At 44.1% G+C, this 24786-nt stretch overlaps 3 protein-coding genes across 5 annotated transcripts in view, besides 1 other annotated feature; 1 reads left to right on the top strand and 2 right to left on the bottom strand.

Annotated features, from left to right (window-relative positions):
• Window positions 1-24786, bottom strand: part of CHURC1-FNTB (CHURC1-FNTB readthrough) — a 148295-nt gene that overhangs the window by 20345 nt on the left and 103164 nt on the right. For both annotated transcript variants that reach the window (NM_001202559.1, NM_001202558.2), the window contains 4 exons: window positions 14712-14858; window positions 14530-14613; window positions 9615-9701; window positions 1392-1521 (listed from right to left, as the gene is read on the bottom strand). In NM_001202559.1, the coding sequence (NP_001189488.1) occupies window positions 1392-1521; window positions 9615-9701; window positions 14530-14613; window positions 14712-14858 (448 nt within the window). The remainder of the gene's footprint in view (window positions 1-1391; window positions 1522-9614; window positions 9702-14529; window positions 14614-14711; window positions 14859-24786) is intronic.
• FNTB (farnesyltransferase, CAAX box, subunit beta) overlaps window positions 1-24786 on the bottom strand; it is a 75756-nt gene that overhangs the window by 20340 nt on the left and 30630 nt on the right. The window contains exons 5-8 of the mRNA NM_002028.4: window positions 14712-14858; window positions 14530-14613; window positions 9615-9701; window positions 1392-1521 (exon numbers count right to left, since the gene is read on the bottom strand). Of these exons, the coding sequence (NP_002019.1) occupies window positions 1392-1521; window positions 9615-9701; window positions 14530-14613; window positions 14712-14858 (448 nt within the window). The remainder of the gene's footprint in view (window positions 1-1391; window positions 1522-9614; window positions 9702-14529; window positions 14614-14711; window positions 14859-24786) is intronic.
• Window positions 1-24786, top strand: part of MAX (MYC associated factor X) — a 96595-nt gene that overhangs the window by 60385 nt on the left and 11424 nt on the right. The gene's annotated exons all lie outside the window — the stretch shown is intronic.
• Window positions 22241-22290: a silencer, noted in NCBI's record as "silent region_5846". NCBI's record gives its function as "represses an Ori minimal core promoter by ATAC-STARR-seq in GM12878 lymphoblastoid cells {active_cell/tissue: GM12878}" and the evidence as "EXISTENCE:reporter gene assay evidence [ECO:0000049][PMID:35858748]".

Here is a 24786-nt window from a genome sequence, read left to right as displayed (position 1 = left end):
TACATTATGGTGAGTTGTATAATTATTTCATTATATATTACAGTGTAATAATAGAAATAAAGTACACAATAAATGTAATGTACTTGAATCATCCTGAAGCCATCACCCCCCGTCCCACCCCCAACCCCAGGTCCACGGAAAAATTATCTCCCACAAAACTGGTCCCTTGTGCCAAAAAGATTATTACTGTGGGTTAGAGGGACACTAACATTTATTAAGTACCTACTATGTGCCAGGCTGTTTATAAATGTTCTCTCCTTTAACCTTAAAAAAATAAGGATTGTTATCCCTACCTTATAAAAGAAAAAAATATCAAGCTAAAAGAGATTAGACAATTTGCCCAAGGACTCATGTCTCAAATGTAGTAGGGACAGGGTTCAAATCTAGAACACTGTCTTTATAACTGAGGCACTCCCTAATCACATTCCTTATCTCTGCCTGGGAGATGGGACTTTTTTGTTTCATGCCTTATTGGTGTTCAGATTTTAAAACATCTGAGAAACTCTTAAGTTCAGCATACAAAGTTGGCTGTTTCAGCATGAGCCTTCAAGCCTTCATGAATCTTTAAAAAGACTACACCGGGGGAGGCTTTCTGAAGGTGGAGGCAAGACACTGCTGGTTACATGTCTACAGGGTACAACAGAAACTCTCCAGGAAGCTCACGATGGGCCGCATAACGGGAGGCTGGCATCTGAACTCAGGGAGAGGAGGTGCATGTCAGTTGCAGCTGGTTTGCTTTGACGTCATGGTCAGGGGGTACATGCTCCCCAAATGACATGACGGGGAATGCCTTCTCCCTGGTGGCCGTGGAGGTGTGTGTGTTTGTGCACCCACTGATCATTTAACTACAATCTAGTGACTCCCTGAAGCTGACTGCTTTCTGAGTTTCTTCTGAATACTGGCCAGGAGCGTGGGGTCCAGACATAAATGTTGGGCTGCCTTCTCAATGCAATTAGCCAGCTCTGCCTAAACAACTCATTTAAATGTAGGTACTAAATGTTTACACAGTGCAGCAGGTAATAAAAGTTTGGTTTCGAAATGCTGCAAAGCTCTTCTTGTAACTTTTCCTCTTAGGAGGTTCTTTCTATAACACACGATAACCTCTAATTCTACGAAACTGAAGTATAAGGAAGGTACTCTGCTCACACCAGATGTCTGCAGCACACAGTCTATGTAGTCTACACACTATGTAAAAAGCTCTAAGCAGGAAGACAGAAAGGCAGAAGGGGGAGCCAAGACAGAGCAGCTGCTCACTCCTTCCTCTGTGTTGGAACAGAGCTAACTCTCTTAGCCCTTCCCATAGCCAAACTCTCCTGAAGCCTGCATGTCTGAGTACAATCACATCACCATGACCTGGGGCCTGAGAGGGGGATGGCTCAAAAGATACTTACTAATAAGCTCTTCAAGTTCAAGGAACGTTCCCTCTTGAGGATTACCAGCGCGGCCAGGCCACAGAAGGTATAGCCACCATGGGCTTCCATCCCTGGTACCCCGCCAATGCCACCTTCCCAGTTCTGACACCTAAGAAGAGATTGAGAAAAGCAGAATGAGTGGCCAGTGAGTGGACGTACACAAGACCAGGACCATCCTAGGTGGCAGAGAAAAAGTTCACTCAGATTAAGGTGTGAACCATCACAACTATGAATGAAAAGATGCCAACTAATTAACTTTTGGAAATGTCTTTTCAAAAAAAAAAAAAAAAAAAAGCTGGGCCTGGTGGCACCCATGTGTAATCCCAGCTGCTCAGGAGACTAAGGCAAGAAGATCACTTGAGGCGAGGAGTTCGAGGCTGCAGTGAGCTATGATCACACCATTGTGCTCCAGCCCGGGTGAAAGAGTGAGACTAGGTCTCCAAAAAATGTAAGTATAATAAAAACTGTAAAATGTTAAAAACCCAGACACTTAGAAACAGCCTACTTGTGTAAGAAACATAATAATTCAAATTATTACTCTTTGGGAAAAAGTTATAAAATCATACATATACATATATGTACATATATACACATATATATACATATATATATATACACACATATATATACATATATATACATATATATATAGTGATAACCATCAAGTTAAAATAAAATTAAAGAGTGATTGTTGATTCTAGTGATCTTTTATTTTTGAAACAGGGTCTTAACTCTGTTACCTAGGTTGACTGCAGATCATGGCTCACTGCAGCCTCAACCTCCTGGACTCAGGCAATCCTCCCACCTCAGCCTCCTGAGTAGCTGGGACTATGGGCGTGCCCCACCATACCCGGACCATTTTTTGTATTTTTTGTAGAGATGGGGCATTGCCATGTTACCCAGGCTGGTCTTAAATTTCTGGCCTCAAGGAATCCTCCCACCCCAGCATCCCAAAGCGTTGGGATGACAGGCATGGGCCACCGCACTTGGCCTCTGGTGATCTTTGAGTACAGGTCTACTAGTAATATTTTTCCTTTTTGTTTTTCTATTTGTTCAAAAAGTTTTTATAATGAACCTGTATACTATTAAAAAATAAACGTTATTTTTAAAAATTATAATTAGGCCAGGTGGTGATGGCTTCTTAAACAGCCTGCAGAACCATGAGCCAAATAAACCTCTTTTCTTTCTAAGTTACCCAGCCTCAGGTATTCCTTTATACTGACACAAAATGGACTAACACAAGAAGGACAAGAAATAACTGACTTAGTAGAATAGAGAAACCTTTCCTACCCAAAGGATAGGGATGGGAGAGGGGCAACAAAAAGCAAGGTGATCTGCTCCAATAAAAGGCTCCAGGATTAGAGATACAGGGAACCTCCACAAAGTGGAATGCGTCTGAACCAAGTTTGTTGGTTGCAAACTTATATAAGAATCAGACCTTTAAGTCCCCTACTCAAATCCAGCAGAAGATGGGAAGTTTCAGAGGTTTAATCAAAAGGATCTGAGTTCCAGAATATCCAACAAGCTAAGAGGAGGAGGGAGCACTGTACCAAATGTGATTACGTGAGAGTCAGTAATCTCAACACAATACCCCCAGCCCCATTCCTCTGTGTATTTCACACAAGGCTGCCAGTTTCATACCCCAAGCAGGAATTTAGAAGATTCCTCTCTGAGGGAACTGATAAGCCCAAGGGAAAAACCCTACAGACACTGCTTTGAGAATTCCCCAATGAATGGCTTGATCCTGCCCACTCTCGCAGAGCTCCCCAGCAGCTTTTCAGTGCTGGATCCTTAAATATGAACAGACAGCTGTAGAGTACCAGACATTTGACCACAGTCTCTACTATGAAAGAGGAGACCAAAACAAACAAAAATAAATTGGAGGAAATAAGACAGGGAGCAAAAGAAAACTTTTTAAAGTTGTATCTTTAGATAAAATATTATATGAAGTAAGACTATTGAGAGGACAAAATATCCCCAGAAAAGAACAAGAGAGTAGATAAAAAAGTAGTCAGGAAGTAAAAGTAGTCAGGGAGGAAAACTAAAAATAGGATTACAAAAATAAAAACAAGAGGATTAGAAGATAAATACTAAGAGAATCTCTCAAAGTATAAGAAGAAGGATTAAGAGATGGAAACGAACCATGCAATGAAATATTTTTATTTTTATTTATTTATTTTTGAGACAGAGTCTCGCTCTGATGCCGAGGCTGGAGTACAGTGGCACAATCTTGGCTCACTGCAACCTCCGCCTCCTGGGTTCAAGTGATTCTCCTGCCTCAGCCTCCTGAGTACGTGGGATTACAGGTGCATGCCACCACGCCCGGCTAATTTTTGTATTTTTAGTAAAGACAGGGTTTCACCATGTTGGTCAGGCTGGTTTCGAACTCCTGACCTCGTGATCTGCCTGCCTTGGCCTCCCAAAGTGCTGGGATTACAGGTATGAGCCACTGCACCCGGCAGTATTATTTTTATTTATTTATTTATTTTGAGATGGAGTCTCACACTGTCACCTGGGCTGGAGTGCAATGGTGCGATCTCGGCTCACTGCAACCTCTGCCTCCTGGGTTCAAGCAATTCTCCTGCCTCAGCCTCCCGAGTAGCTGGGATTACAGGTACCCACCACCACACCCGGCTAATGTTTTGTATATTTTGTAGAGGCTGGGTTTCACTATGTTGGCCAAGCTGGTCTCGAACTCCTGACCTCGTGATCCGCCCGCCTCAGCCTCCCAAAGTGTTAGGATTACAGGCGTGAGCCACCACGCCCAGCCTCAAAGTATTCTTAAAAGTCAGACAATCAAATGTACTAATGGGATGTCATATTTTTAAAAGGCTGGCCAGGTGCGGGGGCTCATGCCTGTAATCCCAGCACTTTGGGAGACCAAGGCAGGAGGATCATTTGAGGTCAGGAGTTTGAGACTAACCTGATCAACATGGCGAAACCCCGTAAAAATTAGCTGGGTGTCGTGGCGCACGCCTATAATCCCAGCTACTTGGGAGGCTGAGGCAGGAGAATCGCTTGAACCTGGGAGAAAGAGGTTGCAGTGAGCTGGTCTGCACCACCGCACTCCAGCCTGGGCAACAGAGCAAGGCACCATCTCAATAAATAAATAAATAAATAAATAAATAAATAAATAAATAAATAAATAAATAAATAATAAATAAATAAATAAGAGGCTGGGCATGGTGGCTCACACCTGTAATCCCAGCACTTGGGGAAGCCGCAGCAGGAGGATTACGTCAGCCCAGGAGTTTGAGACCAACCTGGGCAATGTGGTGAGGCTTTGTCTCTACAAAAATTTAAAAAATTAGCGGATGGTGGATGCCTGTAGTCACAGCTACTCAGGAGGCTGAGGATGATCACTTGAGCCTGGAAAGTCGAGGCAACAGTGAACCATGATCGTGTCACTGCACTCCAATCTGGGAGACACATAAAACAAAAAGAGACGTCTCAAAAAAAAAAAAAAAAAAAAAAAAAAAAAAAAAAAAAAAAAAAGGGCCCGGCGTGGTGGCTCACGCCTATAATCTCAGCACTTTGGGAGGCCGAGGCAGGCGATCACTTGAGGTCAGGAGTTCGAGACCAGCCTGGCCAACATGGTAAAACCCCATCTCTACTAAAAATACAAAAATTAGCTGGGCGTGGTCGTGGGCTTCTGTAGTCCCAGCTACTCAGGAGGCTGAGGCAGGAGAATTGCTGGAACCTGAGAGGCAGAGGTTGCAGTGAGCCGAGATCACGCCATTGCACTCCAGCCCGGGTAACAACAGCAAGACTCCGTCTCAAAGGAAAAAAAAAAAAGAGCAAACACAGAAAACACAAGAGAAGAAATTATCAAAGAAATACTGTAATAAAGAATCTTGGTACTAAAGTATATGCACTTCCAAATCGAGTGCCCAGCAAAATGAATAAAAATAATCCACATCAAGATTCATCATCAAGTTTCCAAACAAGAATAAACATTCCAGGCCAGGCGAGGTGGCTCATGTCTGTAATCCCAGTACTTTGGGAGGCTCAGGAGGGCAGATCACTTGAGGTCAGGAGTTTGAGACCAGCCTGGCCAGTATGACGAGACCCTGTCTCTACTAAAAATACAAAAATTAGTCAGGCATGGTGGCAGGCACCTGAGGTTGCAGTGAGCTGAGATTACGCCACTGCACTCCAACCTGGGTGACAGAGCAAGACTCCATCACACACAAAAAGAATAAAGATTCCAAGCCGCTAAAGAAGGACAGGATGGGGATAGAAAAAGAGAGACAGAAGAAAAAAACATACAGAGAATTAAGAATCACAATGGCACTGCCAGGTAGTACAGCACAGTGGAATCCATTTGATTTCTCTGTATTTCTGCTTAATATAAAATTTAAAGGCTGGGTGTGGTGGCTCACGCCTATAATCCCAGCACTTTGGGAGGCTGAGGCAGGCGGATTGCTTAAGCTCAGGGGTTTAAGACCAGCCTGGGCAACATGGGAAAACCCCGTCTCTACTAAAAACACAAAAATTAGCCAGGTGTGGTGGCATACACCTGCAGTCCTGGCTACTTGGAAAGCTGAAGCAGGAGGATCACTTGAACCCAGGAGGTCAAGGCTGCAGTGAGCCAAGATCACGCCACTGCACTCCAGCCTGGGTGACGAAGTGAGACCCTCTTTCAAAAAATAAATAAATTAAATTAAATTAATTAAATTCAGTATCCCACCACTTGACATATAAGGAAACTATGACACAGAGCAGTGGAATAACTTGTCCAAGCACAAAGCTAATTAGAAATGGCAGGCTGGCCATCGTGGCTCACACCTGTAATTCCAACACTTTGTGGGGCTGAGGCAGGAAGATTGCTTGAAACCAGGAGTTCAAGACCAGCCTGGGCAACACAGTGAGACTCTGTCTTTACAAGACATTTTAAAAATTAGCTAGGTGTTGTGGTGCACACCTGTGGTCTCTGCTACTCAGGAGGCTGAGGTGGGAAGACTGCTTGAGCCCAGGAGGTCAAGGCTGCAGTGAGCCGTGATCATATCACTGCAATCCAGCCAGGGCAACAAGCAAGACCGTGTCTTCAAAGAAAAAAAAAAAAAGCTGGGCGCAGTGGCTCATGCCTGTAATCCTTGAACTTTGGTAGGTCAAGGTGGGTGGATAGCCTGAGCCCAGGAGTTCAAGCCCCACCTGGACAACACAGACAGATCCCATCTCTACAAATTTTTTTTTTAAACATTAGCTGGTTATGGTGGCACGCGCTTGTTGTCCCAGCTACTTAGGAGGTTGAGATGGGAGGATTGCTTGAGCCCAGGAGGTGGTGGCTGCAGCGAGCTGTGATCACACCACTACACTCCAGCTCGTGCAACAGAGCAAGACTCGGTCTCAAAAAAAGAAAGAGAGAATTGAAAGACAGAGGAAGAAAGAAGGAAGAGAAGAGGAAAGAAAGGGCAAAACTGGGATTCAAACCCAGGCTGTCTGAGTTCCGTATCTAGTCTGTGCCTAACCAGTCAACCCCCCTGCAAATGACAGCTGTACACTGAACAAAATACAAAAAAACAGCTTCCTGAGGGTTCAGCTGACTGAAAAAGGGCAGGCAGATTTTGGTGGAGTTTGAAACTTGGAACAGAGAACAGCATGCAGTTAGTCCCTCCCTTCCCCCACAACTTTTTCTCTCTGGTTTGCCCTCAGGATGGCAGCCATAGCCCAGGGCGGCAGCAGCAGGCCAGGGGTCAGGGGTCAGGGCGGGCAGCCAACACTCTAATGGGAAGCCAACCATCCTTCTGGCAGGAAGATGCAGGCTGCCAGAAACTGAGGACGAATCCAGAAACAGGAAAGTCAAAGAAGAAAAATCCCAAATTCTGCATTTAAACTCAGTTCAAGTTTCCACATACGTGCTGGGGAAACAAAGCAACTTCTAAGCAAGAACTGAGCTCTGAGCTGCTGCATGAGTGACAGTTTGTAGCTTGAGTCTGACCAAGTTGACTGCCTGCTAAACTGAAAACATCAACCCCTTTTGGGGCAAACCAACAGAATCCATACCGTTCTGTTGTATGACACCTCCACCATCATATCACAATGTCTAGGACACAACACAACATCACTCAGCACAGGAAGACTCATGGAGCTGACATGCCAACTCCAGGACACACAGATGTGGAAATTCCCAGACAAGCAATTTAAAGCAGACATTATAATTCCATACTTACCACAGCAAAATGAAGAAAAATGCACTCATAAAGAATAAAAAGATGGAAAATCTCAGCTGAGAAACACAAAATATAAAAGAGAACCAAACACAGGCAGTGCCTACTCTCCAGCTCTCAACTATAGCTGCCTTACCATTGAGCATGACAGTCCTCAATGAACTCTGGTTACTATTATCAGCCTTATTAACAATGACATTGGAAGCCAGAAGATAATGAAGCAATGCTTACAAAATTCAGAAAGACTACAGTTTATACCATTGCCAAGTTAGAAATCTCTAACCAAATAATTAAGTGTGAGATTAGAACACAGATACATGCAAGATATTAAAAATGTATCTCCCAGGTACCCTTTTTTGGGATCTGTTGGAGTACAATACTTCATGAAAATAAGAAAACCAAGAAAAAGGAGGACAGGGACTTCAACGAAGGAGAGAAATGAAGTGAATTTCATGCTGAAAGGAAGCTTCGGGATGCCTGCTGTGTAGCAAGCTGAGAGCAATCTGTCCAGACTGAAGCAGGAGGGCAGAGGGCTCCAGAAGGGGCAACTCAAAACGCACGTGTGCACAGAGACAGGTTACCTGAAGGGTTTGACTATGTTTAGAGTAATTTTTTATAGCTCTGACAGACAATTTGGGAAGGAATTCATAAGTACATTCATGATATATCCATTAACTCCAGGAAAATGAAACTCATACAAAAAAGTAAACATGATCTCAGCATATCATCTGGTATCACTGTAAATTATATTTATATGGTAATACATACTACTTTGATAAAAATAAAATTTTTTTAACTAAAACAGTATCTCAGCTTGGCTATCATTCCATCATAGTATATATGTGTCTACTATACCTTTTGCTTCTTTTTTTGAGATGGAGTCTCGCCCTGTCGCCCAGGCTGGAGTGCAGTGGCGTGATCTCGGCTCACTGCAAGCTCCGCCTCCTGGGTTCACTCCATTCTCCTGCCTCAGCTTCCCGAGTAGCTGGGACTACAGGCGCCCGCCACCATGCCCAGCTAATTTTTTGTATTTTTAGTAGAGACGGGGTGTCACCATGTTAGCCAGGATGGTCTCGATTTCCTGACCTCATGATCCGCTTGCCCTGGCCTCCCAAAGTGCTGGAATTACAGGCGTGAGCCACCGCACCTGGCCTGCTTTTTTTAAACTATGAAATATTTGGAGCATCCAGGAAAGTACAGCAAACAAAATATAGAACATACACGTATCTAAGACCTAGCTTAGAATTAGCCATATACACTTCAGGTCTTTGTTGTTGTTAACTATTACAGCTGAAGTCTCCTATGCAGACTTATCTCATTTCCTTTGCTCTCCCCTCAGCGGGAATCACTATGCTAAATTTGGTGTTTATCTTTCGTATACATGTTTTTATATTATTACCACATGATTCTTCTCAGAAACAATACAGAATTCTCTTGCATGTTTCAAATTTTAAGTAAATGTGCTAATCTGTATGGTTTTTTTGTATTTTTTTCTTTTCATTCTTTCAACTCAACATAGAGATTTTTCCATATTGATACATGTAACTCTAGTTCATTCATTTTCACTGCTACATTATATTCCGATGCAACTATACCACACTTACCCATCTCGTGCTTATGAGCACTGAATCTGCTTTCAGCTTTTGGCTCTTATAAACAAGTCCTGTGCTCCTCTCTCCCATTCGTGTGTGCAAGGGTTTCTGTGGGAGTGGAATTACTGGGTCCTACGCAAGGGCACCTTTGACATACTGTCAAATTGCTCTAAAAACTGGTTAAATCAATTCAGGCTCTCACTAATATTGTTTACCAAAGTTTTTTATCTTTGCCAATCTAAAATATAATATAACATTAAAGAAAGTTTGGAAAAAAGAAGACATTTTAAGTATTTAAAAAAATCATTAGATAACCCTAATGGATCTCCTGTGATTTTTGTATTTCCTTCCAAGTCCCTCTGCATTTTCTTTATTTTTCTGAAGTAGTGTCGTGACCGCCTGCTCTCCAAGAGGCCAGGAGAAACCCTGGCTTCTCTCACCTTGCTATCCATTCAGCAGTGCCCTCAAAGAGGTCTGGAGTGATGATGTTGGTCAGCGAGGCTACGGAGGCAGCACAGTATGCGCTTCTGGAAAGACAGAAACGGGAAACACATTAAGCTCTACGGAAGAGCTAATGAGGCTCAGTGAACTCCGCGGGCGGACTGCTCGCCTTGCCTAGTAAGCTGTAATCACCTCCTGTCCTCACTCTTGGCACACGGTCAGTCCTCCTGGGTCTCCAACTGAGAGGTGTGACATTCTATTTGGATAGAGTTGCTCACGGCATGGCTTCAGTGAAAGAACATGACATTCTATTCTCCCTACCTCCACATGGTCCAATCTACATCAGAGGAAATAACAGCCATATCAATTCATGTCAAAAGTGGATTCAGCTCTTCTTTCAAAGACCTATAATGGTTGCCATAAATCTATGGTATCATTCAGGTACTTCTGATATGCTCATTCATTTGGATGTTAGTACTGTTTCAGAGCCAGGATTTCTGTTTACAGCCTTGACACATTAAAGATTAACTATACTTTTTCTGCAACAGATAAACTGCAAAACAGGCCACCAAATTGTAATAGATCAAACAAGGATAGGAACAGGTGAGTCCACTCCAATACAGTCCTTAAACCTCTAGAGGGAGAAAAGAGCCTTGATTTCAAACCTCTCACCAGTACACACACACACACACACACACACACACACACACACACACGTTAAATGAAAAAGGCGCACGTCTATATTTTTTGTTTTGCTTTTGTTTTGGTTTTTATTGAGACAGGGTCTCACTCTGTCGCCCAGGCTAGAGTGCAGTGGTATGATCTCAGCTCACTGCAACCTCCGCCTCCTGGGTTCAAGCAATTCTCCTGTATCAGCCTCCCAAGTAGCTGGGATTACAGGCGCATGCCACCATGCCTGGCTTATTTTTCTATTTTTAGTGGAGATGGGGTTTCGCCATGTTGGCTAGGCTGGTTTCAAACTCCTGACCTCAAGCAATCCACCTGCCTTGGCCTCCCAAAGTGCTGGGATTACAGGCATAAGCCACCGCGCCCGGGCTATTTTTTAAAAAAGCATTATTAGGCTGGGCACAGTTGCTCATGCCTGTAATCCCAGCACTTTGGGAGGCTGAGGCAGGTGGATCACGAGGCCAGGAGTTCAAGACCAACCTGACCAATATTGCGAAACCCCGTCTCCACTAAAAACACAAAAATTAGCTGGGCATGGTGGCGTGTGCCCGTAGTCCCAACTACTTGGGAGGCTGAGGCAGGAGAACCACTTGAACCCGGGAGGCGGGGGTTGCAGTGAGCCAAGATCATGCCACTGCATTCCAGCTTGGGCAACAGAGTGAGACTCTGTCTCAAAAAAAAAAACAAACACAAAAAATTATTATACTTGATTTAGGATCATTCTTGCTGTTCCATCCTCCCAGCCCTAATTCTTCTCGGGGCACATTTTATTTCAGCTTCTCCCTCTGTCATGGTATACACACACAGACTGCCTTTCCTTCCCCTCTATGGTTTTTTCAAATACCCGGCACAGGGAAGACAAAAATCATTGGTTTGAATTCTGCTCAAAAATCCTTCTCCTGGCCAGGCATGGTAGCTCATGCCTGTAATCCCAGCACTTTGGGAGGCTAAGGCAGGTGGATTATTTGAGGTCAGGAGTTCGAGACTAGCCTGGCCAACATGGTGAGACCTCGTCTCTACTAAAAATACAAAAATTAGCTGGGCATGGTGGCACACGCCTGTAATCCCAGCTACTTGGGAGACCGAGGCAGGAGAATCGTTTGAACCCCAGAGACAGAGGTTGCAGTGAGCCAAGATCCCACCACTGCGCTCCTGCCTGGGCAACAGAAAGAAACTCCATCTCAAAACAAAACAAACAAAAAGTATATTCCTAAGGGCTCCTAAGAAACATAAAAGAAGGGCCTAGTTTCCATCTTCTTTTTTTTTTTTAAGATAGGATCTCACTTTGTTGCCCAGGCTGCAGTGCAGTGGCGCTATCATGGCTCACTGCAACCTCAAACTCCTGGGCTCAAACTGATCTTGCCTCAGCCTCCTAAGCAGCTGAGGCTACAGATGCATGCCACCACACCTGGCTAATTTTTTAAAAATTTTTTGTAGAGACAGGGTCTTGCTGTGTTACCCAGGTTGGTCTTGAACTCCTGGCCTCAAGTGATTCTCTCATCTCAGTCTCTCAAAGTGTTGAGATTACAGACATGAGCCACTGCCGCTCGGCCCTGGTTTCCATCTTACTCAGTATAGATATAACATGAAGTCAGACTTACTGAGGTATTCCAAAGAAGTCTCTGCAGAAGCTGCATGCATTATGATCCTACCAGCATTTTTAGCAGCCAAAGGCACAGTGGAAGTTTAGTTCCACCAGCAGGCATTGGGAGCACACAAGAGTCACAAGTGCCAATGCCAAATGTGATCATCTACCAGCAGCTAATTTTGAAGATCTGTCTAATTTCCTTGCAATTGTAGGCCTCTTAAAGAGGCTCAGATGCATTTGCTCTTGAATCCTATTGTGACTTGTGAGGTAGGAGGCGACCTATAATACAGTTTGCCTCTCACAAGTGTGAGGACTAAGAAGTGATGACAGAAGACAGGAGTCCCAGGTCTCACGCTGAGATGGGGAGGAAACGTAATACAACCTTTTCATGTATTTCTCCCCCTTTCCCTCCACCCAGTCATCGCAGCTCTCAAATTTGAATTTGTCCACTAACTTTCCATCCTTGCTGCCATCACCCAAATCCAAGCCTTCTTCAACCTGGATCAGTCTTCCTGCTCTCTCTCCCTCCAGCCCTGAAACCAGAGGGCTTTTATTGGAACACTACAGTCCATCACTGCAATTGGGAAACTTCTAAGAAAATACAAATCAGATCACATCACTAAACTCCAGACTCCATAGGAGATTTCAGGGCCTCTGTAGCCTGTTCCCAGCCTGTCCCTCCAGCTCCACTGCTCCCCTGCCCACCAGGCCATCTACACTTCAACACTGAACTTGTCCTTTCTTGAGCAACACATGCTTTCTCACCAAACTTCTGCAAATGCTAGATCCCTGCCTCCACCTTATCCTCACAGAATGATCTAGATTATATAACCTAGAAAGGAGGTCTCCTTTCTTAAGAACTGAGAAAAAATAGTGCTTGCTATGAGTTCACTGTGATTTGATTTTTTACAATACACTGGAACTACAGACCCTTGAGTAGGCTCATCTCTGAAACTATCAGCAGTGTAACAGAGCAGAAAGATCATCCAGAGACTGCTGTCTATCCCAGAAGGGCAGCGAGCTAGTCTCCAGATGTCAAACTCTCCCATCACTGCTGCTTTTCTCCAAGTCAAATCCACCCAAACAAGCACTCCTGAGGACTGGCTGATGCTTCCAGGCAAAGGACAATGAAAGAAATGCCAAGTGAAAAATGATGGAATCGGGGTACTAGAAACCAGGCAAAGCAAGGAAAATGGATGCAATCTGCTAGCTTTTCTCTATCATTCATATCTTTAATCCTTTATGTAAATAGAAAGCACGGGCACGAATGGCAGAGCATCACCCAAAGAGCAAAGGTCAGGGAAGAATATGGCTACAGTGCTTGGCAGGGGAACCAAGCTGCCTTACTGGAGAAGTTTCCTAGCATTTATCTAGAACATATAAATAAAGAGCATAGGGAAAAAAAAAGTGCTGGAATGAATAAGATAGCAAATAATCACAGCTGCAAAAGGTATATGATAAAATACCAAAAGGATCTTGCTATGATTTGTTTGCTTTTGCCTAATAATCTTAGTAGGTTTTTAAAAGCTGCGTTTCAAGACTGTGCATATTTTGGGGGAATAGCAACAGAACAGGAACGAAAATGTAGTGAACACGAGGGAAAAAAACTCTTTTAACATTTTCCTTAAGAAGAATCAACACATACTGATTTACCTCAGTCGTTCTACTGGTTTCACTGGTATACACAGATCCTAATCTAATTTTTTTGGTTGGATTAGACAAGTTAGAGATAGAAGAACATCTTGAACTAAAGGCCTTTGCAGCCTGATTACCTATTATCTGTAATGTATTTTATGCTCCACAATGTTCGTGGTTTTTTCCTCCCCTATACTTTCAAACCAATGGTTAAACCAGATGCTTAAGCCAGACTATTAATCAACTTGTGTAGAAGCAAACCCATTTACACATAGGCAGTAAGACAGCTTTGCTATAGAAACCTCACAAAATGTATTTCTCAACTAAATAATAAGAAAATGGCATAAAATCTCAATAAGCCACTGTCTTAGAGAAATGGCTTATTCAATGAATTCCCTGTATGCCTCATAAGTAATCTGCCAGGTGAGGAAGCAACTTGCTTGGTACATCAGACACTTATGGAAGAAAATAATAATTTCGAGCTAACTGGCACCAATCAGTTAATGCGATTTTATTGCACTGCACTCTCCCGGCCCACAAGGCTCTCTGCACCTCCCAGAAAAACTCTCATGTGCCTCAGGAGGACCTCAGGGATTAGACATTCTCATGATTTCATCAAATTCACTCAGAAGGTATTTACTGAGGCCCTGCTGGACTTTCCCCTCCCTTCCTATCTCAGAGAGGTGAAGGAATACATTACACCATACAGTTATTTATATTGTGGTATATCATTTTGTACCAAACAAATGTATTTTTAATTTCTAAAACAAAAGCATTTGTTTCTTATATTTTCACATTTACATAAAATAAGTCAAGTGATCATGACACCTGAGGACATCTGCATCACATCTGAATGATTCTGACGTGTCACTGACATGTCATCCCATGTGTCATTCTGGGACAAAGCAGCAGCTTCCCCATGATGTTCCTTAGGCTTGGCATCTCTAATGGCAGATGAGCTCTAGAGTCAACTGATGTGGCAGCCTGTGCAAAACCCCACTCACCTCACATCCACCTCACCTCCGACATGCATGAGAAAGGAGCCGTCAGGTTGCTTCAGGGAGTACAAATACTGAAGAAGCTTCTCTCTGAGAAACAGGGAAAGAGGTAGGAGAGGCAACAGTCAGTGCGTGTCAGCAGGCGGGGAACTCCTCTAGGTTTCTGTCACTGCTGGCTTTCACTGTACCTGTTAATGATGTCATAGGCCTCCTCGGTGCCAATGATGCACAATGCATTGACTGCTGCATATGTGGGTGCAAGGTGTGGATACTGACCGGGTCCTCCTCCAAAGCCACCTTCTGGGCTCTGACACAGCTCCAGGAACTGACACACACTAGGTACACAGCCAAAGGGCAAAAACAAAGTCAGAGAGCATTCATGTCAAAACACCAAATTCCCACTAGATTCCAGGCCTTTCCAATGATCCCCCACTCCCTCAAAAGTTGAGGGGAACCTCTCCTCCCACTTGTTGAATATAACCTCTCCCCAAAGGGCTTAATTCTCTCTCCAGCTATCATCATTTCTGTCTGCCCTCCTCTGAGTTTCGTACTTAAGCGCTTGTTGGTCATGAAGCAGGGAACACAAGGCTGGGAAGAAACCGACTTTCGTAGCTATGGGGTAAGAGTCTCCCGTGCTTCCCACACAAACCTTTCCCAGACTTTCCACTCAACTTGCTGCCCTGGACCTGTGGTACCAGCCTCCTCCTCCTTGCCTTTGGGAACCTCCCAGCCTTTGAATTTTGCCAAAACATGGTGCTCAACTGCTTCTTTCCACACTAACCATCCTAGTCAGGATCCATCACCTAGGCCTATCATGAACATGTAAATAGAGGTCTTCTCACTCCCATTGCCACCTAAGCCTCTGTGGGCCACTGATTTCTACTCCACCAGTAAGAAGCAAGTTTTGTTTTTTTGTTTTTTTTTTTGAGGCGGGGTTGCCCTCGGTCGCCCAGGCTGCAGTGCAGTGGTGTGATCTCAGCTCATTGCAGCATCCGTCTCCCAGGTTCAAGAGATTCTTTTGCCTCACCCTTCCAAGTAGCTGGGATTACAGGCGTGCACCATCACGCCCAGCCAATTTTTTGTATTTTCAGTACAGACAAGGTTTCACCATGCTGGCCAGGCTGGTCTTGAACTACCTGACCTCAAGTGATCCACCCGCCGCAGCCTCTGCAAGTGCTGGGATTACAGGTGTGAGCCACTGCATCCGGCTGAAAAACACATTTTTAATGGAGCCTGCTTCCATGGCTGGGAGAACAGAAGAGAGGCAGGCTGCTCTCATGCTCACCTTAATTGCGGTAAACATAAGAGGAGCTGCACTGACTCGCCGTGAGAATGCCTCCCAGTCTGCGGGTTCTTGGAGAATTCTCCACGTTAATTCAAACAGGCTCCCATTCCCTCACTGAGGGGAGCTGTTTTCTGAGGGTTTGCCTCCAAGCCTGGCATCAGGCTGCCCAGAGGTTACAGTCTTGCTTTAGGTGAAATCAAGAGAGCCCTATCATCAGTCCGGGGTCTTCCGAAGTGCACCAGAAAGGGTGCCCCAGGAAAGCCCTGGTTATCAAGCTGTTTCTCCACAGCTCAGCAGGGTCACAGCCTTCCCGCCAGGAGAAACCTCCATTTACAACAAGCAAACTGTCTTTGCAGTGTTCATGGGGCCTTCTTTCCTGGGCGCTTTCACCTCATTATTTCCTTGCTACTGCTGCCAGAAAGACTACATAGCCTACTCTCCAAGAAGACACAAGTTTATAACTGTTTGCCAACATCACATTTAATTGCTTTCGATTTCAGAGTTCCCATTATCCGGGCAGAGAAAGCAAAAGCAAACGCTGCTGCCTTGCTCTGTGAGTTCTGAAACGTCACAGGTTAAAACAACACATACTTCTTTTTGCACCTACAATTTTACTGTAGAAAACACAAGGATTGAAACTGAAGTTGAAAACAATTATGTGGCACTATGGTTTTTGTTTTTGATTTTGAGAGAGGGTCTTACTCTGTCGGCCAGGCTGCAGGACAGCGGCATAATCACGGCTCACTGCAGCCTCAACCTCCCCAGACTCAAGCTATCCTCCCACCTCAGCCTCCCAAGTAGCTAGAATTACAGGCATGAGCCACCACGCCTGGCTAGTTTTTGTATTTTTTATAAAGATGGGGTTTCGCCATGTTGCCCAGGCTAGTCTTGAACTCCTGGGCTCAAGCAATCCTCCCACCTCGGACTCCCAAAGTGCTGAGGTCACAGGTGTGAGCCATCATGCCCAGCATGTGACACATTTTTAACAGCAATTAATTTCTGTAGAGAACTTGAATTTGTTCCTTCTTTCCAAATCGTCATCAATTCTTATGACATTTCCCAGAAACAAATAGTTAATAAGCTCATGCCCTAACAAAGGCTGGCTGCACTAGCATACCAAAAGGTTTCTGTACCACAAAAAGTTTTAGCTGATACAAAACTTAACAGCACATTTTTTAAAAGAAAGAAAAAGAGTCACCTGGTTATCCACTCCCTTTCCCAGCTCCTAAGATAGAATCGTGCCGAACGCAACACTACTGACCCTAAAGCCTCGAATTAGTTAGGATCTGAATGTACCAGACACACCTTGATACCATCCCTCCATGCCAACCTCCCTCAGCTGACATGCTGCATCTGACTGTCTGGGGCTGTGCTAGAGAACTGGAGGTTGGGCTTCTCTTGATCTCAGACACTTCCGTATTACAGAACATTCTGATCCCAAGGCTTTCCAACTTGCACCTTAAGGAATTGGCAAGTTGACTATGAACTACCAGCTGTCATTCACAGACTTCTTAGCAATTCTGAAGACCAAAATGTTAATGATACTTCTACATATTTAAAAAAAACAAACAAACAAAAAAAAGGAGCCAGGCATAGTGGCTTGTGCCTGTAATTCCAGTACTTTGGGAGGCCAAGGCAGGAGGATTGCTTGAAGCCAGTAGTTCAAGACCAGCCTGGGCAACACAGTGAGACCCCAGCTCTACAAAAAAATATTTTTTTTTCCCACAAATGTAGGGGGAGAAAAACTTATCATAGAGACAAGAAGTTCACCAATAAATAAAAAATTACAAGCAAAAAACATTGTACAAACACCAAGTGGCACATTTTGTGAAAAACAAGTATTCACAAAATCATTCCTTTAGAATATGACTGAAAGCTGCAATACATCAATTTTCTTTAACGTCAGCAAGGCATTTCATTCTAGCTTACGTGCCAATTACCAGCAAAGTGGGAAACTATCTTCTATATCATGGATCTTCAAACCCAAAATGTGTGCATCAGAATCTGTAGAAAGCTAATAAAAGAATACAGAGACCCAGTCCTGCTGAGGTGGAAAAGATCCTGGGCCTTTGTATTTTTACCAAATTCTCAGGTGATTCAGATACATGCAAAGCTTGAGCCATCACTAGTCCTTGCTGCACAACTAAAATTACTTGGGGGGTGTTTTAAAAAAATCCCAACACCCAAGCCACACCTAATTCCAATTAAACCGGAATCACTATGGGTGGGACCCAGGTGGCAGTATTTTTTTTAAACTCCCCACGTGATTCCAATGTTCAGCCAGGTATCAGTGCTTCTCAAACTTGAGTTGCATAGAAATTACCTGTGGATCTTGCTAAACTGCAGCTCTAATTCAGTAGAACTAGATGGGTCTGAGAGTCCTCTTTTTTTTTTTTTTTAGGAGATGGAGTGTCCCTCTGTCGCCCAGGCTGGAGTGCAGTTGAGCGATCTCAGCTCACTGCAAGCTCTGCCTCCTGGGTTCAAGTGATTCTCCTCCCTCAGCCTCCCGAGTAGCTGGGACTACAGGTGCATGCCGCCACGCCCAGCTAATTTTTGTATTTTTTAGTAGAGTCAGGGTTTCACTGTGTTGCCCAGGCTGGTCTCGAACTCCCGAGCTCAGACAATCCGCCCGCCTTGGCCTCCCAAAGTGCTAGGATTACAGGCGTGAGCCACCATGCCCGGCTGAGAGTCCTCATTTCTAATAAGTTCCCAGGTGATAGCAATGCTCCTGGTCTGGGGACCACATTTTGAGTAGCAATGAGATACATCTGTGCTGTCCAATAGGCAGCCACTAGCCACATGAGGCAATTTAAATTCTCAATTAATTAAAATAGAAAATTCAGCTCTTCAGTCACACAAGACACATTTCAAGTACTCCACAACTAACTGTGGCTAGTGGCCAATATAGAACACGTATAGATGTTTATAGACACCTATAGACATTTACAGAATATAGAACATTTTCATTATCACAGAAAGTTCTGCTGGACACCACCACTTTTATCATTCCATCATTAAAGAGTATGTAAATCTTGTAAGAGGGTCAAGTTCAAAGCAGGGATATCAGCGATTGCCTCTCAGCCTTATAAGGAGTTTACTTGGGACTCTTAGGTGATGGCTGAGGACTGATCTAAAGTGATTGATTCTGGCCAGGCGTGGTGGCTCATGCCTGTAATCCCAGCACTTTGGCTGAGGTGAGGGGGATCACTTGAGCTCAGGAGTTCAAGGCCAGCCTGGGCAACATGGCAAAACCCCATCTCTACAAGAATTATAAAAATTAACCAGGCACGTTGGCACCCACCTCTAGCCCCAGCTACTCAGGAGGCTGAGGTGGGAGGATCACTTGAGCTTGGGGAAGTCCAGGTTGCAGTGAGCTGTGATTGTGCCACTGCATTCCAGCCCAGACAATAGAGTGAGACCCTGTCTCAATCAATTAATCAATGTTGATTCTAAACACCGTCATCAGTTTGGATGAAGGATTCAAAGGCATGTACAGTAAATAAGCATATAATACAAAATGAGCAGCAAAACAAATCAGAAACCAATAAGAATAAAACAAATGCAACAGGTACAAATAGCAAGAATTACGCTTAGAGATGGCAGGGGTGGGGGATGGGTAAGGCACATGAATATGGGAAATGACTAGGAACATAGCAGGAAAAGACCAGTAATAAGGGTCCACGAGTTGTGAAGAACAACAATAAAAATGCTTGTTAAAAGCATCATAAATGCAGTATTAGTCAGAACTGTATCTGGCTCTAGCCTCCATTTTCCACCTCAAAGGGAATTCACATGAGAGTTGTAAAAATGACTACTTTTTTTTTTTTTAAGTATTTGGCTGGGTGTGGTGGCTCGTGCCTGTAATCCCTAGACTTTGGGAGGCCAAGGCAGGAGGATCACTTAAGGCCAAGAGTTTGAGACCAGCTTAGGCAATACAGCGAGACCTTATCTCTATTTTTAAAATAATATAAAAAGCTTAATATTACAGACAATCACAGTGAGAAAGCTACCCAGCAAAATACCTCAAATATACAAAGGATAATTACATAAACATTCTAGTAGGTAAAAACTGAGACTAATTTGTAGCAAGAAGTATTTAGGTTACATAAAAAACTTCAGCACTAGACTAGGCTATCATAGACAGACTTAAGGCCTAGGATAAGTTATAAAAATTATAGCTATGTTCTGCACAATTGGGCAGGTTTAAAAAAAAAAAAACAGAAAAAAAGATTACAGCTTTGGAAATAGGAACAGTCATCCATGGGCAGAACGGCTTAGGAGGGGATGTAAATGCAAGATGCATGAGCTGGCATCACATCAAGCTTGTTCTCGTACTAACTAAAACAGCTTCAGCTTGATATAGTGAAGAGGAAATCTCCTTCCCTAGGTAGAATATGACAATGGACAGGTGAAGACGGGCAGCATCTCTTGTTGATTCCGGGTGGCCTCTGCTGCTCACAGAGTCAGACGTGTTATTTGACTCTTCATCAAGCACCGGCAAGTCTCTGGATGGCTGCTGTTCTGGAAGAATGGTCAGGTCGAAAGTTGGCTACTATAGGCCGGGCGCAGTGGCTCACGCCTATAATCCTAGCACTTTGGGAGGCCGACGTGGGCGGATCACTTAAGGCCAGGAGTTTGAGACCAGCCTGGCCAACATGGTGAAACCCCATCTCTACTAAAAATACAAAAATTAGCCAGGCATAGTGGCATGCGCCCGTAGTCCCAGCTGCTTGGGAGGCTGAAGCACGAGAATCGCTTGAACCCGGAAGGTGGAAGTTGCAGTGAGCTGAGATTGCACCAGTGCCCTCCAGCCTGGGGGACACAGCAAGACTGCCTCAAAGGAAAAAAAAGTTGGCTACTTTAGAGCAGAGTTTCTCAACTGTTGACACTGGGGCTCAGTAATTCTTTGGTGCAGGGACCGTCCTGTAGAGGATATTTAGCAGCACCTCTGACCTGCACCCACCAGGTGCCAACAGCACCTGGCCAGGAAAAATGCCCAGGAGACAAAGGCCTAGATATGGTGTCCTCACTGAAAGGTAAGGAAACATACAAACTAGACTTAAAAATTAAAAGGAAAAATATTTAAGGGGCTATTCCGGGGATAAGCTACTAACAACCTTTTGAAAGGGAAAGGATAAAACACTGAAATAGCAAAATTTGAATTTATCTTTGGAAAAATCTTACAAGCTGAAATGTCCTAAAATGGTTTTTAAGTTAAAGGCAATTTTTAAATCTTACAGAAGCTAAAAACATAACTTTAACAGTGCGATGGTCTCCCTGTGAATTTTATTTTGCTCTGTTTCACTGAAGCTGCTTTCAGTAACAAAGAATGGGATTCTCATTAGAGGATGCTTCCTTCAGTGCCAAAACCATTAAGCAAAGCAAATGTACTTAGTCTAGTTCCAAAATATTAATTCATTTTAGATAAACACATATAAATGTGTGCATATAACCTCTTAAAAGAGGGAAGCTAGGCCGGGTGCGGTGGCTCACATCTGTAATCCCAACACTTTGGGAAGCCAAGACAGGTGTATCACCTGAGGTCAGGAGTTCAAGACCAGCCTGGCCAACATGTTGAAAGCCTGTCTTTACAAAATACAAAAATTAGCTGGGCGTGGTGGCACACCCCTGTAATCCTAGCTACTTGGGAAGCTGAGGCAGGAGAATCACTTGAACCCGGGAGGTGGAGGTTGCAGTGAGCTGAGATCATGCCACTGCACTACAGCCTGGCAACAAGAGCAAAACTCCGTCTCAAAAAAAAAAAAAAAAGGCCGGGCGCGGTGGCTCATGCCTGTAATCCCAGCACTTTGGGAGGCTGAGGCAGGTGGATCACCTGAGGTCAGGAGTTCGAGACCAACTTGGCCAACATGGTAAAACCCAATCTCTACTAAAAATACAAAAATTAGCCGGGTGTGGTGGCTCCCGCCTGTATGCCTGTAGTCCCAGCTACTCGGGAGGCCGAGGCAGGAGAATTGCTTGAACCCAGGAGGTGGAGGTTGCAGTGAGCCAAGATCGTGCCACTGCACTCCAGTCTGGGCAACAGAGCGAGACTCTCAAAAAAAAAAGAGGCAAGCTGAAGTCCTACCTATGGACTGGGCATGGTGGCTCACGCCTATAATCCCAGTGTTTTGGGAGGCTAAGGCAGGAGGATCAATTGAGCCCAGGAGATTGAGACCAGCCCAGGCAACACAGCAAGGCACTGTCTCTACCAAAAATAAAGAAAACATTCCAGGCTATGAATACATTATTCTTGAAACCTCTGATACCAGCAGTAACAACCTCGCCTTGCTGGCTTTGGTCAGCGGTCATAGCAGCTGACAAAAGTATTTTGTCCACTAGAGGGAACCCAGCTTATCATATTGTTCCCTAAACAAATAGAAGCACAGCAGTGAACAAAATAGGAAAGAGAAACCTTTGTGTAAGTGTAGGGGGCGTGTGTGTTACATGCAGGGGAAAAGAAGGCAGGAAAATAATAAAACTGCAGAGCTAGACTTTTTGACTCTAGGTCACCTTAATATATTTGTATGAAGAAAGAAAACTGAACGCATTTCAAAGCATTTCATTTCCCTGTGCAAGATAAATAAAAAGGCAATATTCTATTTCAGCTAGTCTAAAAAAAATCTTCTATTTATATAGAAGTCCTTAAGATTTATCTGTATCTTACTAAAAATAATCTATTTCCTTATGGGTCAGAGCCAGTAGGCTTTGTTCATAACAAGTGTTTTCTGCACCTAGAAGTAACCACCTCCTAGGCACAAAGCAAAATACATTATTGGGAAGTCTAAGAAATGTTTAAAAGTTCACTAAATCAATGCGTAGAAGAACCACAGGTAAAGCTTTTAAGGCATCTGTGAAGCAGAAACTCTCATTAACTGTCAAGTGGTTTTTGAAATAAGGACAAATCAGCTTATTTTTAAACCATTCCTTTTTTAATTACAAAATAATAAAAGATCATTGTAGAAACTTCAGAAAATGCAAGTAAGCTTAAAAAAAATGTTTTGTTTGTTTGTTTTTTGAGACAACAGTCTCCTTCTGTTACCCAGGCTGGAGTGCAGTGGTGTGATCTCGGCTCACTGCAACCTCTGCCTCCCGGATTCAAGCAATTCTCCTGCTTCAGTCTCCCGAGTAGCTGGGATTACAGGTGCCAGCCACCACATCTGGCTATTTTTTGTATTTTTAGTAGAGACAGGGTTTCACCATGTTGGCCAGACTGGTCTCGAACTCCTGACCTCAAGTAATCCGCCTGTCTCAGCCTCTCAAAGTCCTGGGATTACAGCCATGAGCCACTACATCCAGCCAGAAAGTTCTTCTTTTTCTTTTTCTTTTTTTGAGATGGAGTTTCACTCTTGTTGCCCAGGCTGGAGTGCAGTGGTGCAATCTTGGCTCACCGCAACCTCCGCCTCCCGGGTTCAAGCGAGTCTCCTGCCTCAGCCTCCTGAGTAGGAGCCGGGAGTGCAGTAACAGAAGGAGACTCTTGTCTCAAAAAACAAACAAACAGCCTCCTGAGTAGGATTACAGGCATGCGCCACCACGCTTGGCTAATTTTGTATTTTTAGTAGAGACGGGGTTTCTCCATGTTGGCCAGGCTGGTCTCAAACTCCCGACCTCAGGTGATCCACCCACTTCGTTCTCCCAAAGTGCTGGGATTACAGGTGTGAGCCACCGCGCCTGGCCTTTTTTTTTTTTTTTTTTTAAGACAGAGTCTCACTCTGTCCTCCAGGCTGGAGTAGAGTGGCATGATCTTGGCTCGTCGCAACGTCCACCTCCCAGATTCAAGCAATTCTCCTGCCTTAGTCTCCCGAGTAGCTGGGATTACAGGCATACACCACCAAGCCAGGCTAATTTTTATATTTTTAGTAGAGACAAGATTTCCCCATGTTGGCCAGGCTGGTCTCGAACTCTTGATCTCAGGTGATCTGCCGACCTTGGCCTCCCCAAGCCCTGGGATTACAGGTGTGAGACACCGTGCCCAGCCCAGAAAGTTTATAAAATCACTTTTAACCCCATCGTCCAGAAATAACTACTACATGTATCTTTCTGGTTCTATCTATGCATATCATCATCTATATTTTTAATGTATGTAAATTAAATCTTTTAAACTATTTTCATTTCACATCTCTCTATATAAATACATATATTTTAACATACAAATATACACATTCATATATTTATTGAGACAGGGTCTTGCTCTGTTGCCCAGGCTGGAATGCAGTGGTGCCATCATGGCTCACTGCAGCCTCAAACCCCTGAACTCCTGTCTCGGCCTCCTGAGCAGCTAGAACTAGAAGTGTGCACCACCACGCCCAGCTATTTTTATTTTTATTTTTGAAATGGAGTCTCACTATGTCGCCCAGACTGGTCTTGAATTCCTGGGCCCCAGTGGTCCTCTGACCGTGGCCTCCCAAAGTGCTGGGGTTACAGGTGTGATCATGCGTGGCCACATTTATACATTTTTTAATGGTTATATAGTATTTCACAGAATGTACTGCACCATAAATGACTTATGTTTTATTTTTTAAATTTATGTATTTTATTTATTTATTTTTTTGAGATGGAGTGTCACTCTGTTGCCCGGACTGGAGTGCAAAGGCGCAATCTCGACTCACTGCAACCTCCGCCTCCTAGGTTCAAGCGATTCTCCTGCCTCAGCCTCCCGAGTAGCTGGGATGACAGGCATGCACCACCATGCCCAGCTAATTTTTGTATTTTAGTAGAGATGGGGTTTCACCATGTTGGCCAGGCTGGTCTCAAACTCCTGACCTCAAGTGATCCACCCACCTCAACCTCCCAAAGTGCTTGGGATTACAGGCGTGAGCCACCACACCCAGCTTTACATTTAAAAAAAATTTTTTTTAAACATTCTCTACTGTTGATATTTAATTTAGATTGCTTCCAATGAAAGGCCCTTTAAAGGCTCCTCTCTTCCTATGTGACATTGCCCCAGAAGCGGCGCTGACACTTCCTCAGAAAAGCCTTCA

The sequence above is a fragment of the Homo sapiens genome, chromosome 14 (assembly GCF_000001405.40).
Source record: "Homo sapiens chromosome 14, GRCh38.p14 Primary Assembly".
Lineage (NCBI taxonomy): Eukaryota > Metazoa > Chordata > Mammalia > Primates > Hominidae > Homo > Homo sapiens.
Note: the sequence above shows the minus strand (reverse complement) of the source record. Positions and strands in the feature narration are given on the sequence as shown.